An 18,691-nucleotide genomic window follows, 5' to 3' on the forward strand; every position below is an offset into this window, starting at 1 on the left:
CTGGGAGGCTCGGGGAGGCTGAGCTGCAGAGCACCTGTTGAGTGGGAAGCCCTCAGGAAGATGCGGGATGTCACCTGCACCCAGAGGGTGGTGGGGTGTGGTCCACACAACACTGGGGCCACCAGCACCAACAGCCTGAAGCCCCATGACTAGCCTGAAGCCCCATGACTGCCCGGCATTGCTTGATGCTGTTGGAACGTAGCTCAGACGCCTCCAGGCCAGGCGTGGACAGGGCAACCCAGGACCCTGACCAGCACCAGGGTCCTTGCTCCAGAAATGAGCTTTGATGGACAGGCTCTGGCTTTATTCCGTCTCCTTCCCTGTCCCCGCTTCTACCAGATGGTAAGGAGTGGGGGAAAACAGTGAATTTTTTTAGTGACATCTGTATTTAGATATAAGTCATATACCATAAAAGTCATTCTTTTAATTCAGTGTTTTTTTGTGAATTCACAGAATTGTGCAACCGTCACCACTATCTAATTCCAGAACACTTTTATCACTCCAGAAAGAAACTCCAGGCCCTTTATCATCAGCTCCTTGTTCCTCCCCCTACTTCTACCCCGGTCCCTGGCAACCGCCAATCCACTTCCTGCCTCCAAGGTTTCCCTGTTCTGGGCATTTCATAGAAATGGGATCATACCACACATGGCCCTTTGAAGCTGGTGTCTTTTACTCAGCATGATGTTTTCAAGGTCCCCCACACTGGGGTGTGTGTCAGCACTTCATTCCTTCTGTGGCTAAAGAACATTCTGCTGAGTAGATAGACCACATTTTGTTTATCTGTTCTTCCACTGATGGAAGTGTGGGCTGTTTCCACTTTTTGGCTATTGTGAATAATGAACATTTGTGTACCCGTTTTTATGTGAACAAAGGTTTCCATTTCTCTAGAGTCCCCAGCTACAAGCAGCATTGCTGGTCGTACAGTCACTGTACAGTTAACATTCCAAGAGGACTGGCCAAACTGTTTTTCCAAAGAGGTTGCCACATCTTACATTCCCACGGGCAGTGTGGGAGGGTTTCAAATTCTCCCTACTCTCATCAACACCTGTTATTGTCTGTCTTTTTGGTGACAGCCAAGCTCCTGGGTGTGAAGTGGCATCTCATTGTGGTTTTGATTTGCCTTTCCCTGACGGCTAATGATATCAGTGTCTTTTCATGTGCTTGCTGACCATTTGTGTATCTTCTTCAGAGAAATATCTACTCAGACCCTTCACCCCATTTTTAGTTGGATTCTTGTCTTTTTATTATTGTTGCAAGAGTTCTTTATGTGTTCTACAGCCAGGTTCCCTATTGGATATATGGTTTGCAAAAGTTTTCTCTCATTCTCTGGGTTACCTTTTCACTTTCTTAATGGTATTATTTGCAGCACAAAAGTTTTAATTTTGAGAAAGTCCAGTTTATCTACTTTTTGTCATTTGTGCTTTTGGTGTCATATGTGAGAAATCATAGCCTAACTCAAAGCCACAAAGATGTATTCCTATGTTGTCTTCTAAGAGTGTTATGGTTTCGGCTCTCACATTTAGGTTGCTACTACTTTTGGAGTTCACATTGTGTATGGTGTGAGGTAGGGGTCTAACCTCATTCTTTTGCACATGGATATCCACTAGGCCCAATACCATCTGTTGCAAAAATTATTCTTTCCCTGTTAAACTGCCTTGGTGCCCTTGTTGGAAATCAGTGGACTGTAACTCTGAGGGTTTATTTCCAGCCCTCATTCTCAGTCCATTCCATCAATCTGCGTATCTGTGTTTATGCCAGCTCTTGACTTCTGTGCTTTTGCCATCAGCTTTGAAAGTGGGATGCGTGAGTCCTCCAGCTTTGCTCTTTTTCAAGATTGTTTTGGCTATTCTGAGTCCCTTACATTTCCATATGAATCTCAGGATCTGCTTGTCAGTTTTGGCAAGAAAGCCAGAAGAGATTGTGATCGGGATTGCACTGACTCAGGGATAAGATTTTAAAATCATCTGATTCTTTGGGAGATGTTTTTAAGGACCTAGGGAATCTTTCACCAATAATGAGTTAAAATGAAAGGGCCAGTTCTTCCCATCTCCCCCAGCCTGCCCCTCCACACTCTGTTCTCTGCAGAGCACCCAGCATTGCAATCTAGTCCTCTCCCACTAGAGCCCATGTCTTAGAGCAGGATTCCTTCTCTTCTTCACTGCTGCATTCCTGGTGCCTGGAGCAGAAGGACACCCACAGACTGGGCATGGTGAGGGCTGGAAGACTGAGCAGACCCCACCTCCATGAGGTCCATGGGATGCAAAGCACAGAAGATTCTCAGGAGACCCCCAGAAAGAAACTGGGAGGTTTTTCCTCATCTATTTGGACAGACACCCTTCTAAGTGCTGTCTGCAGAGCCATGAGAACATGCCTCTCAGGCCTTCCATTGTGGGGAGCAGGACTGACCAGTGGCCCAGCCTCTGCATCCTGAGCTCACCTCCACATTTGCATCAAGGCTAGCCTGACACCCAGGCAATCTGTTCCTGGGTGGTGGTGACTTTGGCTTGAGGTCCCCCCAGTGGCCCTGCTGAGCCACCGTGCAAAGGGCTCCCAACCTTCCTTCCTTTCCTCTCCCCTGCCCAGGGCCCAGACCCACGTCCCGACTGGACCTTCTCCCAACCTCCCAGGCTCCTGCCCCGGTTTTCTCACAGATTTTCCCCTAGTGAGTCTCTCATACCTGATCCTGCCCTGTGCGTGTTGCCCAGAGGCCTAAGGCTGATGCTCACCTCTCAGGGGAAGGAGGAAGGCCTCATAAGTGTCACAGCCTGGAGGAGTGGGCTCCGTGGTGGTGTGCTGGCAATTTGAGGAGGGTGGGACAGCGGTGACCTGTGGTGGCCAGCCCTACAGGGACACCTCCGAGCTGGGCCAGGAGGAGCACAGTGTTCAGGACACCTGACGGGGGGAGTGCCCTCTGAGGTCCCCTGTCAGTGTTCAGGACACCTGGTGGGGGGAGTGCCCTCTGAGGTCCCCTCTCGGTGTTCAGGACACCTGACGCGGGGAGTACCCTCTGAGGTCCCCTCTCGGTGTTCAGGACACCTGACGGGGGGAGTGCCCTCTGAGGTCCCGTCTCGGTGTTCAGGACACCTGATGGGGGGAGTACCCTCTGAGGTCCCCTCTCGGTGTTCAGGACAACTGGCGGGGGTAGTGCCCTCTGAGGTCCCCTGTCAGTGTTCAGGACACCTGATGGGGGGAGTGCCCTTTGAGGTGCCCTGTCAGTGTTCAGGACATCTGACGGGGGGAGTGCCCTCTGAGGTGCCCTCTCAGTGTTCAGGACACCTGGCGGGGGGGTGCCCTCTGAGGTGCCCTCTCGGTGCCAGGGAGTGTGGTTCACTCTCCTCAAATGCTGGCCTCCAAGCCCCTCTGTCCTGTCCCTGGGATCAAAATAACAAAGCATCAGGGCCACTCTGTTAAGGCAGAAACAACCCACGTGGCAGGAGTCAGCTGTAACCTGAGGGCCTGCCCCTGCCAGAGGCCAGATCCCTCCACTGCCCAGGGTAGCCTGGCTTTGAAGAGTCAGGTCCATGACCCACCCGTGTTGTAAAACCCTTCCTAGAATCAGAAGAGCAATAACAGGTGTGCAATTCCTGTGCACTGAGTGGCCTGAGAGGGAGGGCGCTATGGGGAGCAGGGGTGCCCTCCAGTGGTGCAGTGGGGGCAGGGAGAAGCCAATGGGGAGGGAAGGGGTCATCAGGTGGGACAGCCTGGCATGAGAGCAAATCTCTGCAGAACCCTCAGATTACACGGAGGACATCAGCTTCAGGCACCTGCTGACTTCCTCACCACCCCCAAACTCTGAGGCAGGAGAGGTTGGGGGAGGGAAGCAGAATTTCTTTGGGGAGCTGGGGGGTGGGAGCTGTTGGCTAAGACACAAGGCAGTGCCTCCCACTGCTTAAATTTTAGGGTGGCCATGAAAGGCAGAAATAAGGGTGTGCCTGGGGCTCTGGTCACATCTCACAAGTCACACATCTAACACAGCCCTGCGTGCTGCCCCTTCTTCCCGGTGGAACCATTTGCACACAAAAGTGATAGCTGCACTTCCCCCTTTGTTTTTCTGTAGCCTGTGTCTTGGATCTTGTTCCTTGACAGTACCTTGTCCTTCATTTTATTTTTTTTTTTTTATTAATTTTATTTATTTACTTTCTGAGACAGAGTCTCGCTCTGTTGCCCAGGCTGGAGTGCAGCAGCGCGATCTCGGCTCACTGCAACCTCCACCTCCTGGGTTCAAGCGATTCTCCTGCCTCAACCTCCTGAGTAGGGATTACAGGTGTGCGCCACCATGCCCAACTAATCTTAGTATTTTTAGTAGAGACCGGGTTTCACCATTTTGGCCAGGCTGCTGCTTTTTATTTTTAATAGGCTTTTTAAAAGAGCAGTTTTAGATTTACAGAAAAATCGAGAAGATGGCATAGAGTTTCTACTTGCCCTGCGCCCAACTGTCCACATCTCACCCTCTCACGGTGCCTTTGTTGTCACTGATGAACCCAACACTGATCCATCCTCATTCACCGTGCACCCTCACAGCCTCCTCCTGCACCAGGACCACATCCGGATCCCACCCAGGATTTGCTCGTCACGCCTCCCTCGGCTCCTCTCCAACTCCTTGTTTTTGAGGATCTTGACAGTTTTGAGGACCGCCTGGGCATTTTGTGGATCATCCCTCAATTGGGATTGTCTAGTGTTTTTCTCATGGTTAGACTACAGCGATGAATCACTGGGAGGAAGACCCTGGGGGCGAAGTGCCCATCTCACCACATCCCCTCAGGGGTCTACATCATCAACAGGATGCATCGCAGGGGACATTGACCTTGGCCACCTGGCTGAGGCCTCACTCTTTTTAAAGCTGAAACTGCAGGTCCCCAGGCTTTTATCCAAACCCTGGAGCTCGACAGGCTTTTTATTTCAGAGCTCAGGATTTTAGAAATGTAATGTACATTTACACAGCACTCCCATGGGATCCAGGGAAATAACCCATAAGAAAGCCCATGACTGTTTCTGCACTGAAACATGAATATTTACCCTGATTGGAGAAGCAGAGAAAATAAACAGTCTCACTGCAAATTTCCAAGCAAGTTCCAGAAGAACTTTTGTGGGGACTTCAGAACAGCTAGTAAGGGATGGTGGCCTGCCCTCCGTCAGTGGTTCATTCTATAACTTACTGTGCTGGGCTCCAACTGAGGGGTGTCTGGTGGTTTCAGGGCTGTCCCTGCAGCGTTGCAGAGACAGTCCTAGTGTGGAAGTCTCTGTGAGTACCTGCCAGGTAGATTTCTGGGAGGCCACACTTGGCCCCAGGTTTTTGTGTCTTAAACTTGGATTGAGTTGGCCAAGTCGTTCGCCAACAAGGACATATTGATTTGCATTTTCGCAATGATATAGCCTGGGGCTTGTTCCTGAAGCTGCGTGCTTTCAAATGATTGATTGTGGAACACCTGATGGTGAAATCTCATTGGCTGCTTGTATTAGTCCATTCTCACACTGCTGATGAAGACATACCCAAGACTGGGTAATTTATAAAGGAAAGAAGTTTAATGAACTCACAGTTCCACATGGCTGTGGAGGCCTCACATTCATGGCAGAAGACAAAGGAAGAGCAAAGGCACATCTTACATGGCAGCTGGCAAAGAGAGAATGAAAACCAAGTGAAAGGGGTTTCCCAGTATAAACCCATCAGATCTCATGAGACTTCTTCAGTACCATGAGAACAGTATGGGGGAAACCACCCCCATGATTCAATTATCTCCCACCTGGTCCCTCCCACAACACAAGGGAATTATGGGAACTACAGTTCAAGATGAGATTTGGGTGGGGACACAGCCAAAGCCTATCAGTACGGTAGTTCTAATTCCCAGGAGGCTCAGCCTGTTCTCATGTGGTTATAGGTTGCTGGGATTTACCTTCTTGCACCAGCTTCTCAGGCCATTTGCCCATTTGTCTCTTGACGGGTTGGTCTGTAACTTACTCTTTTTGTTGTTTCTTTAATCCCCTGTTTCTGATATATAAGTTGCCAAATTTCTCCCCAATTCTTCACTTGCTCGTGTGCCTGTGTTTTGTTCATTTGTGTTGGCTTTAAGACCCTTATTTTATGTGGTCACATATACCCACCTCCTTTTAAGCTTCCTGTGTTTTGTTTCATTCTTCAAAAGGCCTTGCGCATGCTGAAATTATTTTGTTAGAAACATCTTTCATGATTTCTTCTAGTGCTTTTGTTTTTTTGCCCTTAAGTCTTTGATTTGAGGGAGAGACGCCATTTTTCCTTTGTCTAGGGGGTGAGCCAGCTGTGCCAAGACCATTTGAAATGCTGCCTTTACAACGCAGTCAATGCGTCTGCCTTGTTCCACTGATGGGTCCACCCATCTTCATACCAGCCCCAAACCGCATTTTACTACAGTAGCTTTGCAAGCCATGCTGGTGCGCCATGGACTCCACGCCTCCATGCCCTCACGAATTATTCTAGGATGGCCTGGATGTTTATTTTTCCATATGAACTTTAGACTCAACTTACTTAGTTCCAGAAATAATTGTTGGTATAGGAAAAAGGAGCTGATTGACTCTGCAGCCTGATCTAGGGATAACTGACATATTTGTTATTATCGTGGCTCCTGGTCAGGGTCACGGTCAGGGTCAGTGTTAGGGTCTTCCCTTGATTCGGGCATTTTGAGCATCCCTCCGCTGTGCCTCCAAGTTCCCTTCATGTGGCTGAGGCACATTTCCTAAGTTTTTTCTGAGATATCTTTTTGTTGCTGTTATAAATTTGATCTCTCATTATATTTTCTATCTAATTATATATGAGAAAGCTGTTGATATTTGAATATCTTACTCTAACCAGTCATCTTCATGAACTCTGTTCATTTTCCAGATATGTAATCATATCAACTAAAATGGTGATCATTTTCTCTGCTCTTTTTCAATTTTTATACCTTGTAATTCTTTCTCTAGTCCAATTGCATCCGCCCATCCCTCCAAAAAATGTTCAATCCTAGTGAATATCTCTGTCTTATTTCACTATCTGTAATTAAGACGATGCTGGTGTGGACTGTCTCTGTAATTAAGACGATGCTGGTGTGGGCTGTCTCTGTAATTAAGACAATGCTGGTGTGGACTATCTATCTCTGTAATTAAGACAATGATGGTGTGGACTCTATCTCTGTAATTAAGATGATGCTGGTGTGGACTGTCTGTGTGATTATGATAATGCTGGTGTGGACTCTCTCTGTAATTAAGACAATGCTGGTGTAGACTGTCATCTCTGTAATTCAGGCAGTGCTGGTGTGGACTGTCATCTCTGTAATTCAGGCAGTGCTGCTGTGGACTGTCATCTCTGTAATTCAGGCAGTGCTGCTGTGGACTGTCATCTCTGTAATTCAGGCAGTGCTGGTGTGGGCTGTCTCTGTAATTAAGATGATGCTGGTGTAGAATATCTCTGTGATTATGATGATGCTTGTGTGGACTGTCATCTCTGTAATTCAGGCAGTGCTGATGTGGGCTGTCTCTGTAATTAAGATGATGCTGGTGTGGAATATCTCTGTGATTATGATGATGCTGGTGTGGACTGTCATCTCTGTAATTCAGGCAGTGCTGGTGTGGGCTGTCTCTGTAATTAAGATGATGCTGGTGTAGAATATCTCTGTGATTATGATGATGCTGCTGTGGACTGTCATCTCTGTAATTCAGGCAGTGCTGGTGTGGACTGTCATCTCTGTAATTCAGGCAGTGCTGGTGTGGACTGTCATCTCTGTAATTCAGGCAGTGCTGGTGTGGGCTGTCTCTGTAATTAAGATGATGCTGGTGTAGAATATCTCTGTGATTATGATGATGCTGGTGTGGACTATCATCTCTGTAATTCAGGCAGTGCTGCTGTGGACTGTCATCTCTGTAATTCAGGCAGCGCTGGTGTGGGCTGTCTCTGTAATTAAGATGATGCTGGTGTAGAATATCTCTGTGATTATGATGATGCTGGTGTGGACTGTCATCTCTGTAATTCAGGCAGTGCTGGTGTGGACTGTCATCTCTGTAATTCAGGCAGTGCTGGTGTGGGCTGTCTCTGTAATTAAGATGATGCTGGTGTAGAATATCTCTGTGATTATGATGATGCTGGTGTGGACTGTCATCTCTGTAATTCAGGCAGTGCTGCTGTGGACTGTCATCTCTGTGATTCAGTCAGTGCTGGTGTGGACTGTCATCTCTGTAATTCAGGCAGTGCTGGTGTGGGCTGTCTCTGTAATTACGATGATGCTGGTGTGGAATATCTCTGTGATTATGATGATGCTGGTGTGGACTGTCATCTCTGTAATTCAGGCAGTGCTGGTGTGGGCTATCTCTGTAATTAAGATGATGCTGGTGTGGAATATCTCTGTGATTATGATGATGCTGGTGTGGACTGTCATCTCTGTAATTCAGGCAGTGCTGGTGTGGGCTGTCTCTGTAATTAAGATGATGCTGGTGTGGAATATCTCTGTGATTATGATGATGCTGGTGTGGACTGTCATCTCTGTAATTCAGGCAGTGCTGGTGTGGGCTGTCTCTGTAATTAAGATGATGCTGGTGTAGAATATCTCTGTGATTATGATGATGCTGGTGTGGACTATCATCTCTGTAATTATGCTGAGGAAGTGTCCTCCTCGATCTGACCTGGAGTTTTGAATGAGATATGATTTTCCTCTCTGACCCTAGATTATATTTTGGTGAGAGCCAGGGGCAGGAAGGTCTCCCCCGAGGGCCAGGGCTCCAGGGCAAGTCACCTAAGGTTGTGCGGCTTGGTTTTCCTCACTGTGAAACGGGCGCACGAGATCTGTGTGGTCGGAGTGTTGGTGCCCTCTGAGGTCCCTGGGGCAGGGGCTGGCACGGCACTGGCCCCAGACCTAGAAAGCAGGGCCACCATCCTGTGTGTCACTGTTGGGCCACACATGCACACAGACCCAGGAAGTGGGGGCCGTCATCTTCTCCATCGCTGCCAGGCCACGCACGCACACAACGCCTGGATGGACTCTGGCCTGACGCTCACCCTGGCACAGGGGGAGATGAAGCTTCTGTTTGTTCTTTGCAGAGCCCGCTGCCTCTGTTGGACCATTTTATCGCCATGGTGACCAAGGGCGTGGCCAGGTGACTTTGCAGAGGAGGGAGCAGGGCCCAGGAGCTCTCAGGCCTCCCTGTGACCCCAGAAGGAGGGTGGCCATCCTAGTCCAGGGCTGGGGAAGTGCACATCCGTGCGTCTGCCTGTGCAGAAGGTGGGGGAGGGAGGACCCTCACTCAGCCGATCAGCTTCTAAAGCCCCCAGGGTTCAAAGGACAGCCCTCGACCTCCTGGCCTGGGTTGGTTTCCAAGACAAGAGCAGGCCTGGGCTGGGGTCCTTGGAGGCCAAGGGGGTGGGAGACACGGAGCAGCGGCAGGAAGAGCAGCTGGTCCTCCAGGCCCTCCCCCTCCTGCTGAGTCACACACAGGGCCTCGCCCGCCCAGGCTGCCTGCTCCGGACGTTCCAGAGGAAACCTGGAAGTGCACAAGGCCCTGACCCCACCCCCGGCGCCTGCACCACTGAGGAAAGGCTGTGATCACGGCCATGCACCTGCAGCTCTGTAGGGCGGCACCTGGACCACGCGTCACCAGGGCACATGCTGCCACCACAGCCCCGGGTGGGCAGAGAGCAGGGCCGGCCGCCCCTCACTACTCGCCAGTCTGAAAGGCAGGAGCAGCTTCCCCCAGGTCCGTCCTCCTCACCGGAATCTCCGGGGCAGTTTTCATACGTTTTGAACAGTCCTAAGTCAGAACCCGCAGGGCTGGGTCCAGGAATCTGGACGTACCTTTTATACCTTGGGCGAGTGTGATCGCAGCTGCCAGCCCTGGTCTGCCCGCCAGCATCTGCCACCTTTAGGATGGGATGGTGCACCACGCTCGTGGGGCCAGACGCCAGCCTTGCATCCAGCTCACCTTGGCACGGCTCTTCCCACTTCTCTGCCCTGGGAGTAACACTCCTTCCGGGGTTTTCATGAGGGTGATGTGATCTGACATGCAGACACCCCGACGGTGGGCCTGGGCTCCCTGCTGCTCAGCCAGTGTGCGTCAGCTTGGCTGGTGAGCACTGAGTATAGGTGCTGTCTTTTTTTTTTTTTTTTTTTGAGACAGAGTCTCGTTCTGTCGCTCAGGCTGGAGTGCAGTGACACGATCTTGGCTCACTGCAACCTCCACCTCTGGGGTTCAAGCGATTCTCCTGCCTCAGCCTCCCGAGTGGCTGGGATTACAGGCGCCCGCCACCACGCCCAGCTAATTTTTGTGTTTTTAGTACAGACAGGGTTTCACCACGTTGGCCAGGCTGGTTTCAAACTCCTGACCTCAAGTGATCCACCCGCCTCAGCCTCCCAAAGTGCTGGGATTACAGGCGTGAGCCACTGCACCCAGCCTGGGTGCTGTCTCAGTGCCGCATTGCCCAGCATGCTGGGAACCTATCGAAGCTGGGGTCCTCCTTGAGAAGGATGCACCCCCACAGAAAACTCCAGATCCCACGCGCTCTCCAGCTCTAAACCCAGAACACCTGACCTCGGCATTCTCCCTCCCAACCCAGCTGGAAGGGGCAATGCTCCACCCAGATAATAAACTGTAGATGGTGGGGCTCTGGCAGAGAGAGGGGCCGGCCGGCCAGAGGCTTGAGGAGAGCGCCACATGGGCAGCCCCCACCCCAGTTTGATGGAATCCAACTGATCTCAGGGCTGAAGCCCTTTCCCCACATGCTGGCCTGGCCCTCAGCTGTCAGGCAGGGTGGGGAGCCGAAGCAGTTCCCAACTGCCTCTCCAGCGTGATGAACACCGACTCACATGCCAAAGCCTACTTCAGACACCCTCTTCTCCGTGGAGCCTCCTTCTGCCTTCTCCCCAGGGCAGATGCTCACAGCACCTCACCTGTTCCATTCTTCTGCGGGTGAAACGTGGTCCTAGGGGGACCCTGTGCATTTTCACCTTTGCACGCTGGCCAGGGGCAGGGTGGAGCCTCGGAACCTGGCTGGTGAAGGTTGGAAGAGTTTCGCATCCTCTGAAAACAGAGGTAGGGCCACGGGCCTGTGGTCCAGGAGACCCTTCCCTGGGAGGGGTCTCTCCTGGCATTCTCCCGACCTGGTGCAGATGTAGTCTCCATCGTGCTGAGGCTTGGGTGTTGGGGTTGAGGGGCAGTGCCCGCCGGCAGCCGCCCTGCACAGCTCTCTGGCCGGTGCAGAGGCCTTCTCTTTCCTCACTCTGGCTTCCAGCCACAACTGTCCTCTCAACCACAGGAAGTCCATGTGCAGCTTCCCAGACGCCTTTCCCTTGACCGTGACTTGAGTCCCCAGGAACTTACAGGAACCTTCCAGAAATTCCCTCTTTATCTCCCAAATCCCATCTGGTTCTGTTTAAGGATTCACCATACTTCCTCCTGCTCTCTGCGCCGCTGAACCGGGCCTGTCTCAGAGCTCGGTGTCATCTTTCTCCCTGGGACAGGGGTGAACCTAGGTCTTGAGGGTGATGGTGGGGTGAGGTCCCCGTGCCTTGGCACTCAGAGCATGGCCTTTCCTCCTGCTTCCTCCTCCTGGCCCCAGCCCTGTCCTCTGCTGTCCTTTAATGACAAGTTACTTTTATTGCCACAGAATCTGCCACTGTCCCCATGAGGAGAGGGACCTGCGATCCCTGCCCGTGGCTTGGGCCTCTCAGGTTTGGACAGCCGGTGGCAGCTCCACCCTCTCAGCCCTTCTCTCCCAGATCTTCGGGCCCAGCCTGGGCTGGAGGGAGGCCGCTGGTTCTCCAGGGCGCGTTCCATGGAGCTGCGGCTGTGGCTGTGGGTATACCAACTGCAAAGCCCCCAGTGGGCCCGGGTCTGTTACATTCGGCAGGGGCTGCCCTTTTTAGCCTGGCCCCCTCCAGCCCAGCCTCCTCCTGGAGACGCTGCCCCCCCTTCCTCCTCTCCATGCTCTGTGCCCATTCGGTAAGCGGGGAAGAGCCAGCGGTGTCCTCTGCCCCAGCTGCATCTCAGGATCAGGGGAGGAGCTGGCGGTGTCCTCTGCCCCAGCTGCATCTCAGGATCAGGCAATTCTCCCCCCAGCCCTTTAGCAAGTCAGGGAGACGCGGTGGCCCCTGCCTGCCAAGGGCAGGAGTGGGGTGGGGGATCAAGAAGGGGACCATTTTCTGGGTTCTGTTGCTCATGAAGTAAGAACTCCTGGCGTGTCCCACACCTGGGCTGCCTCCCTCCCTGGCCTGTGCCGTGGGGAGAGGACAGAGCTCAGCCACGGCTGGCTGCTCTGCCAAGGGAGGAGTCTGAGATCTTGGAGCTCGGAGGAGGGGATGCTCCCTTGGAAAGCATGCGAGGGAGGGAGTCTGTGCAGAAGGACCACTGCCAAATCCCGAACAGCGCGTGCAAGGGGGAGAAGCCCCAGCGTCCAGACGGCCATCATGCAAACAGCTTGGCCCTCACGTGGTGACCGTCCTCACCAGGGCAGCAGCATCTTCAGATGTCAGCTGTATGACACCCAGAGATAAACTTGCTTTTGTTTGGGAGCCCAAAAGTCTCATTACCTGGGGGTCAGGACCAGACGGGGCACCCCAGGGCTTTCCTAGCAGGTCATTTTGTATTGCCAGCTGGGGTCAAGAGGGCCTTGGCCACCAGGCTGGGGCAGGATGGGACTCTGCCTCAGGCTTCCGATGCATGCCTTCCCATGACCGGCCACTGTCCTGCGGATTCTGGATTTGGGGTTCGGGCTCCTCACAGACAGATGGAAGAGGGTCTGGGTGTCTGGCTGCCCACACTGTCCCCCTTGGCCTCACCTCCGAGGGGGCCTTGCAGGTGGCCGAGACCTGGACACCTGCCTTTCTGAGGTTCTTCCTCACCAGTGTCGCCTAAACAAATGCACTCAGGCCCCTGACTGAGCCGAAGGGGGCTCCTCGTCTGCAGGGCCAGGAGACTTTCTTGGGCGGAGCCACACAGGAGGTGCAAGGATTGGGCCCCGGGAGGAGGGGGCTGCTCCCCCAGGGAGGAGGAGGCAGTCCGAGGCCTCGGAAGGTGGGGGCCCTCCTGAACAGAGTGAGCACAGGCCCTGCTGATGCGCCCGGGTCCTGCCAATGATCCCTTTTCCATGTGCAGCGCCTCTCAGAGGGGAAGCAGCGGGGCCACTCCCCAGGCTGCCCTCCTAGGGCCTCAGGTAGCCCCCTTGGCTCCCTGCCACCCTTCTCCTCCCCATCCACCATTTCCAGCCCTCCCTAGGAAGCCCCGTCTGTGGGTCGTGCAAACTCGACGCCTTGGGTTTGTGGATGCTGCAGGGAGAATAACAGGACACGCTGAGTGGTCAGGAGCCGGCCCCCAGGCCTCCCTGCAGCCCAGCTTCGCAGCTAGAGGACTCCCCTGCCCTACAGGTGGGACCCTGACTCTGGTGGAGACCAAGCTGCTGGGTGAGGAGCTGGGCCTCAGGCCCCTATCTTCCAAGGAAAGGTTTTCTCCAGTCTCCAAAGCCAGAATGGTGGGCTCCTGACCCTCATGTGGGGTCAGTGAGGGTTTCCTCCCATCTGGCATCTCCCCGGCCTGAAGCCTGACTCCTCGCCACACAGGCCATGATAACAGGCACCCCCCAAATGTCCAACAGCGGGGGATAATTCAAAGCATGGCCAGGCCTCCACTCATGGAGCATTATGCAGCCATTCAAAAGCAGGTGGGACATTTACAGAGCACGGGGGAAGCTGCTTGCCGTGGCAGAAGTTAAACAGGCTGAGTGCCTTGCACGTGTTTACTAAGTGATAATTCCACCCAATTTATATAATCCTAGGGAGACTCGGGGTTTTAAATGTCATCTTCAGAATGTTCCTGCTGATTACACTGCCCTCATGATGGGAAGCCTGCGTTTACTCTAATGGTAATAATTATTGTTAACAGTGAGGCCTTGCGTCTTCATCAGCATTTCTTAAAGGCTGACCACGAGATTCTTTATTCTTTTTTCTTTTTTCTCGGAGACAGAATCTTGCTCTGTCGCCCAGGCTGGAGTGCAATGGCATGATGTGAGCTCACTGCAACCTCTGCCTCACAGGTTCAAGCAATTCTTCTGCCTCAGCCTCCAGAGTAGCCCGGATTACAGGCGCCCACCACCATATCTGGCTAGTTTTTGTATTTTTAGTAGAGACTGGGTTTTACTACGTTGGCCAGGCTGGACTTGAACTCCTGACCTCAAGTGATCTGCCCACCTTTGCCTCACAAAGTGCTGGGATTACAGGTGTGAGCCACCATGCCCAGCCTGACCATGAGATTATTGACAGGTATGTTGGTCTTGAACTTGAACACGTCAGCTGGAGACCCGCAACAGCCTCCTGCACTTATGTCCATGTAGTCTCATTGCTGGTCTTTAGAAAAACAACAAAACAACCCCCAGTGGTTAACCAGCCAGTCAATGCCGAACCCACCCAGCACACGCCCAACACGAGTCCACAGAGGGTGTGAGCTGCCCCCTCAGACTCTGCAAGTGGGAGGAGTTCAGGACGCAGATGCAGTGTCCAGTGCTCGGGAATGAATGAATGAGTGAATGGATAGATGAACAGGCGAATGAGACACCGTGGCTGCCATCCGAGGCTGCCTTTCAGTATGAAATGTTGGGGTCAGGGTGGGGACGTGAGGGCCTTCCTCAGCCAGTCGGTCCCAGGTTGACCAGGCTGCAGAGCGGCCCAGCCTGGCCCGGGGATGCCGCAGGGACCAAGCTCCTCCTGTCCAGGCTGTCCTGGGCGAGGCGCCAAGGGGAAGGTCCTGGGGTGCCCCCCACCTTGGGTTTCCCCCTCGGGATCTTGCTGGGGCAAGTCTGAAATCCGTAGGGCAGGCTGGAAACCCAGGCAGGAGCTGATGCTGCAGCCTTCAGGCAGAATCCACCATCCCAGGGAAACCTTGGTTTTTGCCCGTAAGGCCTTGCCTGATTGGATGCAGTCTTCAAATTCTGCATGTAAGGCCTCACCTGACTGGATGCAGCCCTTGGCATCTGCTCATAAGGCCTCACCTGATTGGATGTGGCCCTTGGCTGCTGTGTTAGGCCTCACCTGATTGGATATGGCTCTCAGAGTCTGCATGTCAGGCCTCACCTGATTGGATGCAGCCCTCGAATTCTGCATGTAAGGCCTCACCTTATTTGATGTGGCCCTCGGATTCTGCTCATAAGGCCTTACCTGATTGGTGTGGCCTCAGATTCTGCATGTAAGACCTCATCTGATTGGATGTGACCCTCGGATTCTGCTCATAAGGCCTCACCTGATTGGTGTGGCCTCAGATTCTGCATGTAAGACCTCATCTGATTGGACATGACCCTTGGCTTCTGCACATGAGGCCTCACCTGTTTGGATGCAGCCCTCGGATTCTGTTGGTAAGGCCTCACCTGATTAGATGCAGCCACCGCCATCCGGAGCATGATCTGCTTCACTTAAGGTCAGCTGATGGCCAAGGCCAGTGCCTCCCCCAAATGCCTTCTTGGCAACACCCAGACAGGTGGGATGGAACCCAGGGCTCAGTGGCCACAGGATGCTGCACCGCTTCTGACATCACTCAACAGCAAAGACCCTAGGACAGGCCCTGGCGAGATCTCTGTGGGATGAGAGGGCCCTGGGCATGAGAGAGAGGCCTCACTATTGGAAATGGTCCCTGTGGGCCTGGACGAGCTGGGCGGGCTGCAGGCTACAGCATCATGGAGCCACGGCAGGAGGTGCCGCCTGGGCTGCTCCGACCCTCCCCGCGGCCTCGGCATCTTCTCCCAGCCTCCGATGGACTCAGAGCCCAGCGTGTCAGAGCCGGGGGCGCTTTTCACCCAAACCTGTGCCCCACACAGTCCCCAGGAAATCGGAGGCCAGGTGAATCGGAACTCACCTGAGGCCCCACGGCCGCTCTGGGAGGAGCCAGCTCTGCCAGTACCTGGACCCATCACATGGGAGGCGGCTGCGAGGCTGGGAGGCAATGGCTCCTGCACCTGCTCTCGCGGTCTCGGGAGCCCCGCCCTGCCTGTCACGTCAGTGTCCCGGCCGTGTTCATCCTGAAGCTCCACAGCCGCAGCCACCCATGGCAGTGGGGAGCCAACTGCAGTATGCTCTGATCAAACCGTATCTCATGGCTCCAGCACAGATGGCGGGAGCTACGGCAAGTCCGGTGATGCTGGAGGGGGTGTGACTGACGAGGAGGGTTTGTGCCAGAGCAGGCGGCACCACCACTCCTCGGAGACTGTGTGGGACCCGAGCGACCCCTCCATCCCACGGACTCCAGGACTCAGTCAGGGGTCGCCCTTGCCTTGAGCTCTAGGCTGCATCAGGAAATGCATGAAGGTTGCCGAATAACCACTCCAGGCCCTCCCCGTGCCCACCCACCTTCAGGAGAATCCGTGGGATGGGGGAACCATCGAATGGACTTGGCCCAGGACTTGGGGGCCAGGTTCAAATGTGAGCCCAGCCCAGGAGACTTTGGGCAGGCCTGTGACTGTCGGAGGCAAGGAGACGAGCTCAGGAAAGCGGAGAGGATGACAGCTCTCGGCTCCTCCTGTCTCTCCCAAGATTGGAGAACGGCATGCTTACAACGCTGTCAGTACTCATGCCACCCAGCCACGGCCATCTGGAAGTTGTTAGCTGTTATTACCTGTGGACAGTGTGGATGGCACATGAGCCTCAGTTCCCCTCGTCTGTAAAGTGGGGGCAGTGATCCCACATCATGGATTAGAGCTGCCGTTCCCTGGGTGCCCATGTTGTGCAGTCAGGAGCCAGGCTCGGTGGCCACCCTGCCTTCTGCCACGCAGTCTGCCCCAGGCTCTGCAGAGCTCCGAGGAGGGGCCCCGGAGGCCTTGGTGGTGCAGTGCCATGCCCCTGGGAGGCTGGGGACACGTGTCCCAGGCCCTGACACCCTCGCAGGCCGCTCAGTGGATTACAGGGCCACAGACCTGTCCTGACAGGGCCACATACAGCTGCCAAGATGATGGCTGCTTACCTAGCAAACTCTAATGCCAGAAACCACCTTCTTCCTTCCCACTTCTCTGTAGCATTTGTGTTTTGATCACTTCTGACATCACTCAGCAGCAAAGGCCCCAGGACAGGCCCTGGCGAAATCTCTGTGGGGTGAGAGGGCCCTGGGCATGGGAGGGAGGCCTCACTATTGGAAATGGTCCCAAGAGCCTCAGGACCCTGTGGGAAGGCCTGGGCAGCCAGGCTTCCTCTTGGCAAAGCCAGGATCTCCCTGACCCCCACTTTCTGGTGGACAGTGTAGAGGTATTGGGGGGGCTGCCACTGAGTGGCAGAAGTGGGCAGGGGGACTCCCACACCCAGTGTTGCCCATGACCGGTAATGGCCGTGGTCCCACAGACCAGGGGCCCACTCTGCCCCTGGCACATGCCAGACCGCAGCTGTGCAGTCTCCCACTCCGTGCCCCCATCCCCCTGCAAAAGGGTGTTGTGTGTCCATCCTACAGATGGTGACAGGGAGACTCGGAGGAGGCACGTGGGGGTGCCCACCATTTCACCCCTCCCAGTTCCCTACCATGGTAGAACAATCACCCCAGAACTTAGTGGCTAAAACCAAGCAGAGTTACTTATTTTGCTCACAAATCAATGGTTGTCAGGGCCTGCGGGCAGCAGCTCACCTCAGTGACACAGGCTTCAGCTGGAGCAGCTGGGCTGGGGTGAGATCCGCCGCAAAAATGGCACACCACATGGCTGGCCAGGGGCCTGTGGTCAGCGCCTCCCCACGGGGCCTGTTCGGGGCTACTTGGGCTTCCTCACAGCATGAGGGCTGGGTCCCAAGAGGCAGGAAGTAGAGGCTGTCAGTTTCGGACCGCCAGCCCTGAAATTTTCTGAGCAATACTTCTGCAGCATTCTGTTTTGGCCAAGAAGTAAAAAGGTCCAGATTCAAAGGCAGAGACGCAGACCCCCACACACACCCCTTATGGGAGGTGGGTGGAAGGATGTGGGGGGCTGTTGTGTCACAGCTGTGCCGTCTGGGATGTTGACCTCCCCAGAGCTCTCAGGTGTGAACACACGTGTGGCCAGGCCTCAGTGCTGTCCTCTCCTATGGCTGTGATGCAGAGAGTCCCAGAACCAGGGCTCAGCCCGGGAGGGTTCTTGGCTTCACTCAGGAAAGAATTTGAAAGCCAGCTGGTGGTGGAAGGCAGGTTTACTTAAGCGGCCGTGTACAGAGAGTTGCTGCTCCTTGCAGAGCAGGGCTAACCCACAGGGAGTGCGCCAGGGTGAGTGCATAAGGGACTGTAGCTGTTTTTATACCCACTTTTAAGTATGTGCGAATTAAGGGGAAGGTTATTCAGAAATCTCTAGAAAGGGGGCGGCACCTTCCAGATGTTGCCATTGCGTTTGTAAACTGTCATGGTGCCGGTGGGTGTGTCTTATGCTGATGGGCAGAGGGGGCAGCTGGAGGAAGCTGTGTTAGTCTGTTCTTGCACTGCTATAGAGAAATACTTGATACTGGGCAATTTATAAAGAAAAGAGGGTTGGCTCACAGTTCTGTAGGCCGTACAGGAAGCATGGTAGCTTCTGCTTCTGGGGAGGCCTCAGGAAACTTACAGTCATGGTGGAAGGTGAAGGGGGATCCAGCACTTCAGCCAGTGGGAGCAGGAGGAAAAGAGAGAGGGAGGAGGTGCCCTTGGGAAATATCCTTCCAGCAGCTTCTGGTTGAGATCACATCCAGCTGCGGCATACTCAGGGTCTCAAGTCCTCACCTGCACACTCCAGGTGGTCCCGACA

General features: G+C 54.0%; 1 protein-coding gene across 1 annotated transcript in view, besides 2 other annotated features; it reads left to right on the forward strand.

Annotated features, from left to right (window-relative positions):
- ZNF469 (zinc finger protein 469) overlaps positions 1 to 18,691 on the forward strand; it is a 339,823-nt gene that overhangs the window by 205,528 nt on the left and 115,604 nt on the right. The gene's annotated exons all lie outside the window — the stretch shown is intronic.
- Positions 2,353 to 2,854: an enhancer, noted in NCBI's record as "H3K4me1 hESC enhancer chr16:88342417-88342918 (GRCh37/hg19 assembly coordinates)". NCBI's record gives its function as "activates a minimal SCP1, AML or CMV promoter by ChIP-STARR-seq in naive H9 embryonic stem cells {active_cell/tissue: H9 hESC(naive)}" and the evidence as "EXISTENCE:reporter gene assay evidence [ECO:0000049][PMID:30033119]".
- Positions 9,325 to 9,619: an enhancer, noted in NCBI's record as "tiled region #14328; HepG2 Activating non-DNase unmatched - State 4:PromP, and K562 Activating DNase unmatched - State 8:EnhW". NCBI's record gives its function as "activates a minimal TATA promoter and a strong SV40 promoter by Sharpr-MPRA in HepG2 and K562 cells {active_cell/tissue: HepG2 | K562}" and the evidence as "EXISTENCE:reporter gene assay evidence [ECO:0000049][PMID:27701403]".

Source organism: Homo sapiens, chromosome 16 (genome assembly GCF_000001405.40).
Source record: "Homo sapiens chromosome 16, GRCh38.p14 Primary Assembly".
Lineage (NCBI taxonomy): Eukaryota > Metazoa > Chordata > Mammalia > Primates > Hominidae > Homo > Homo sapiens.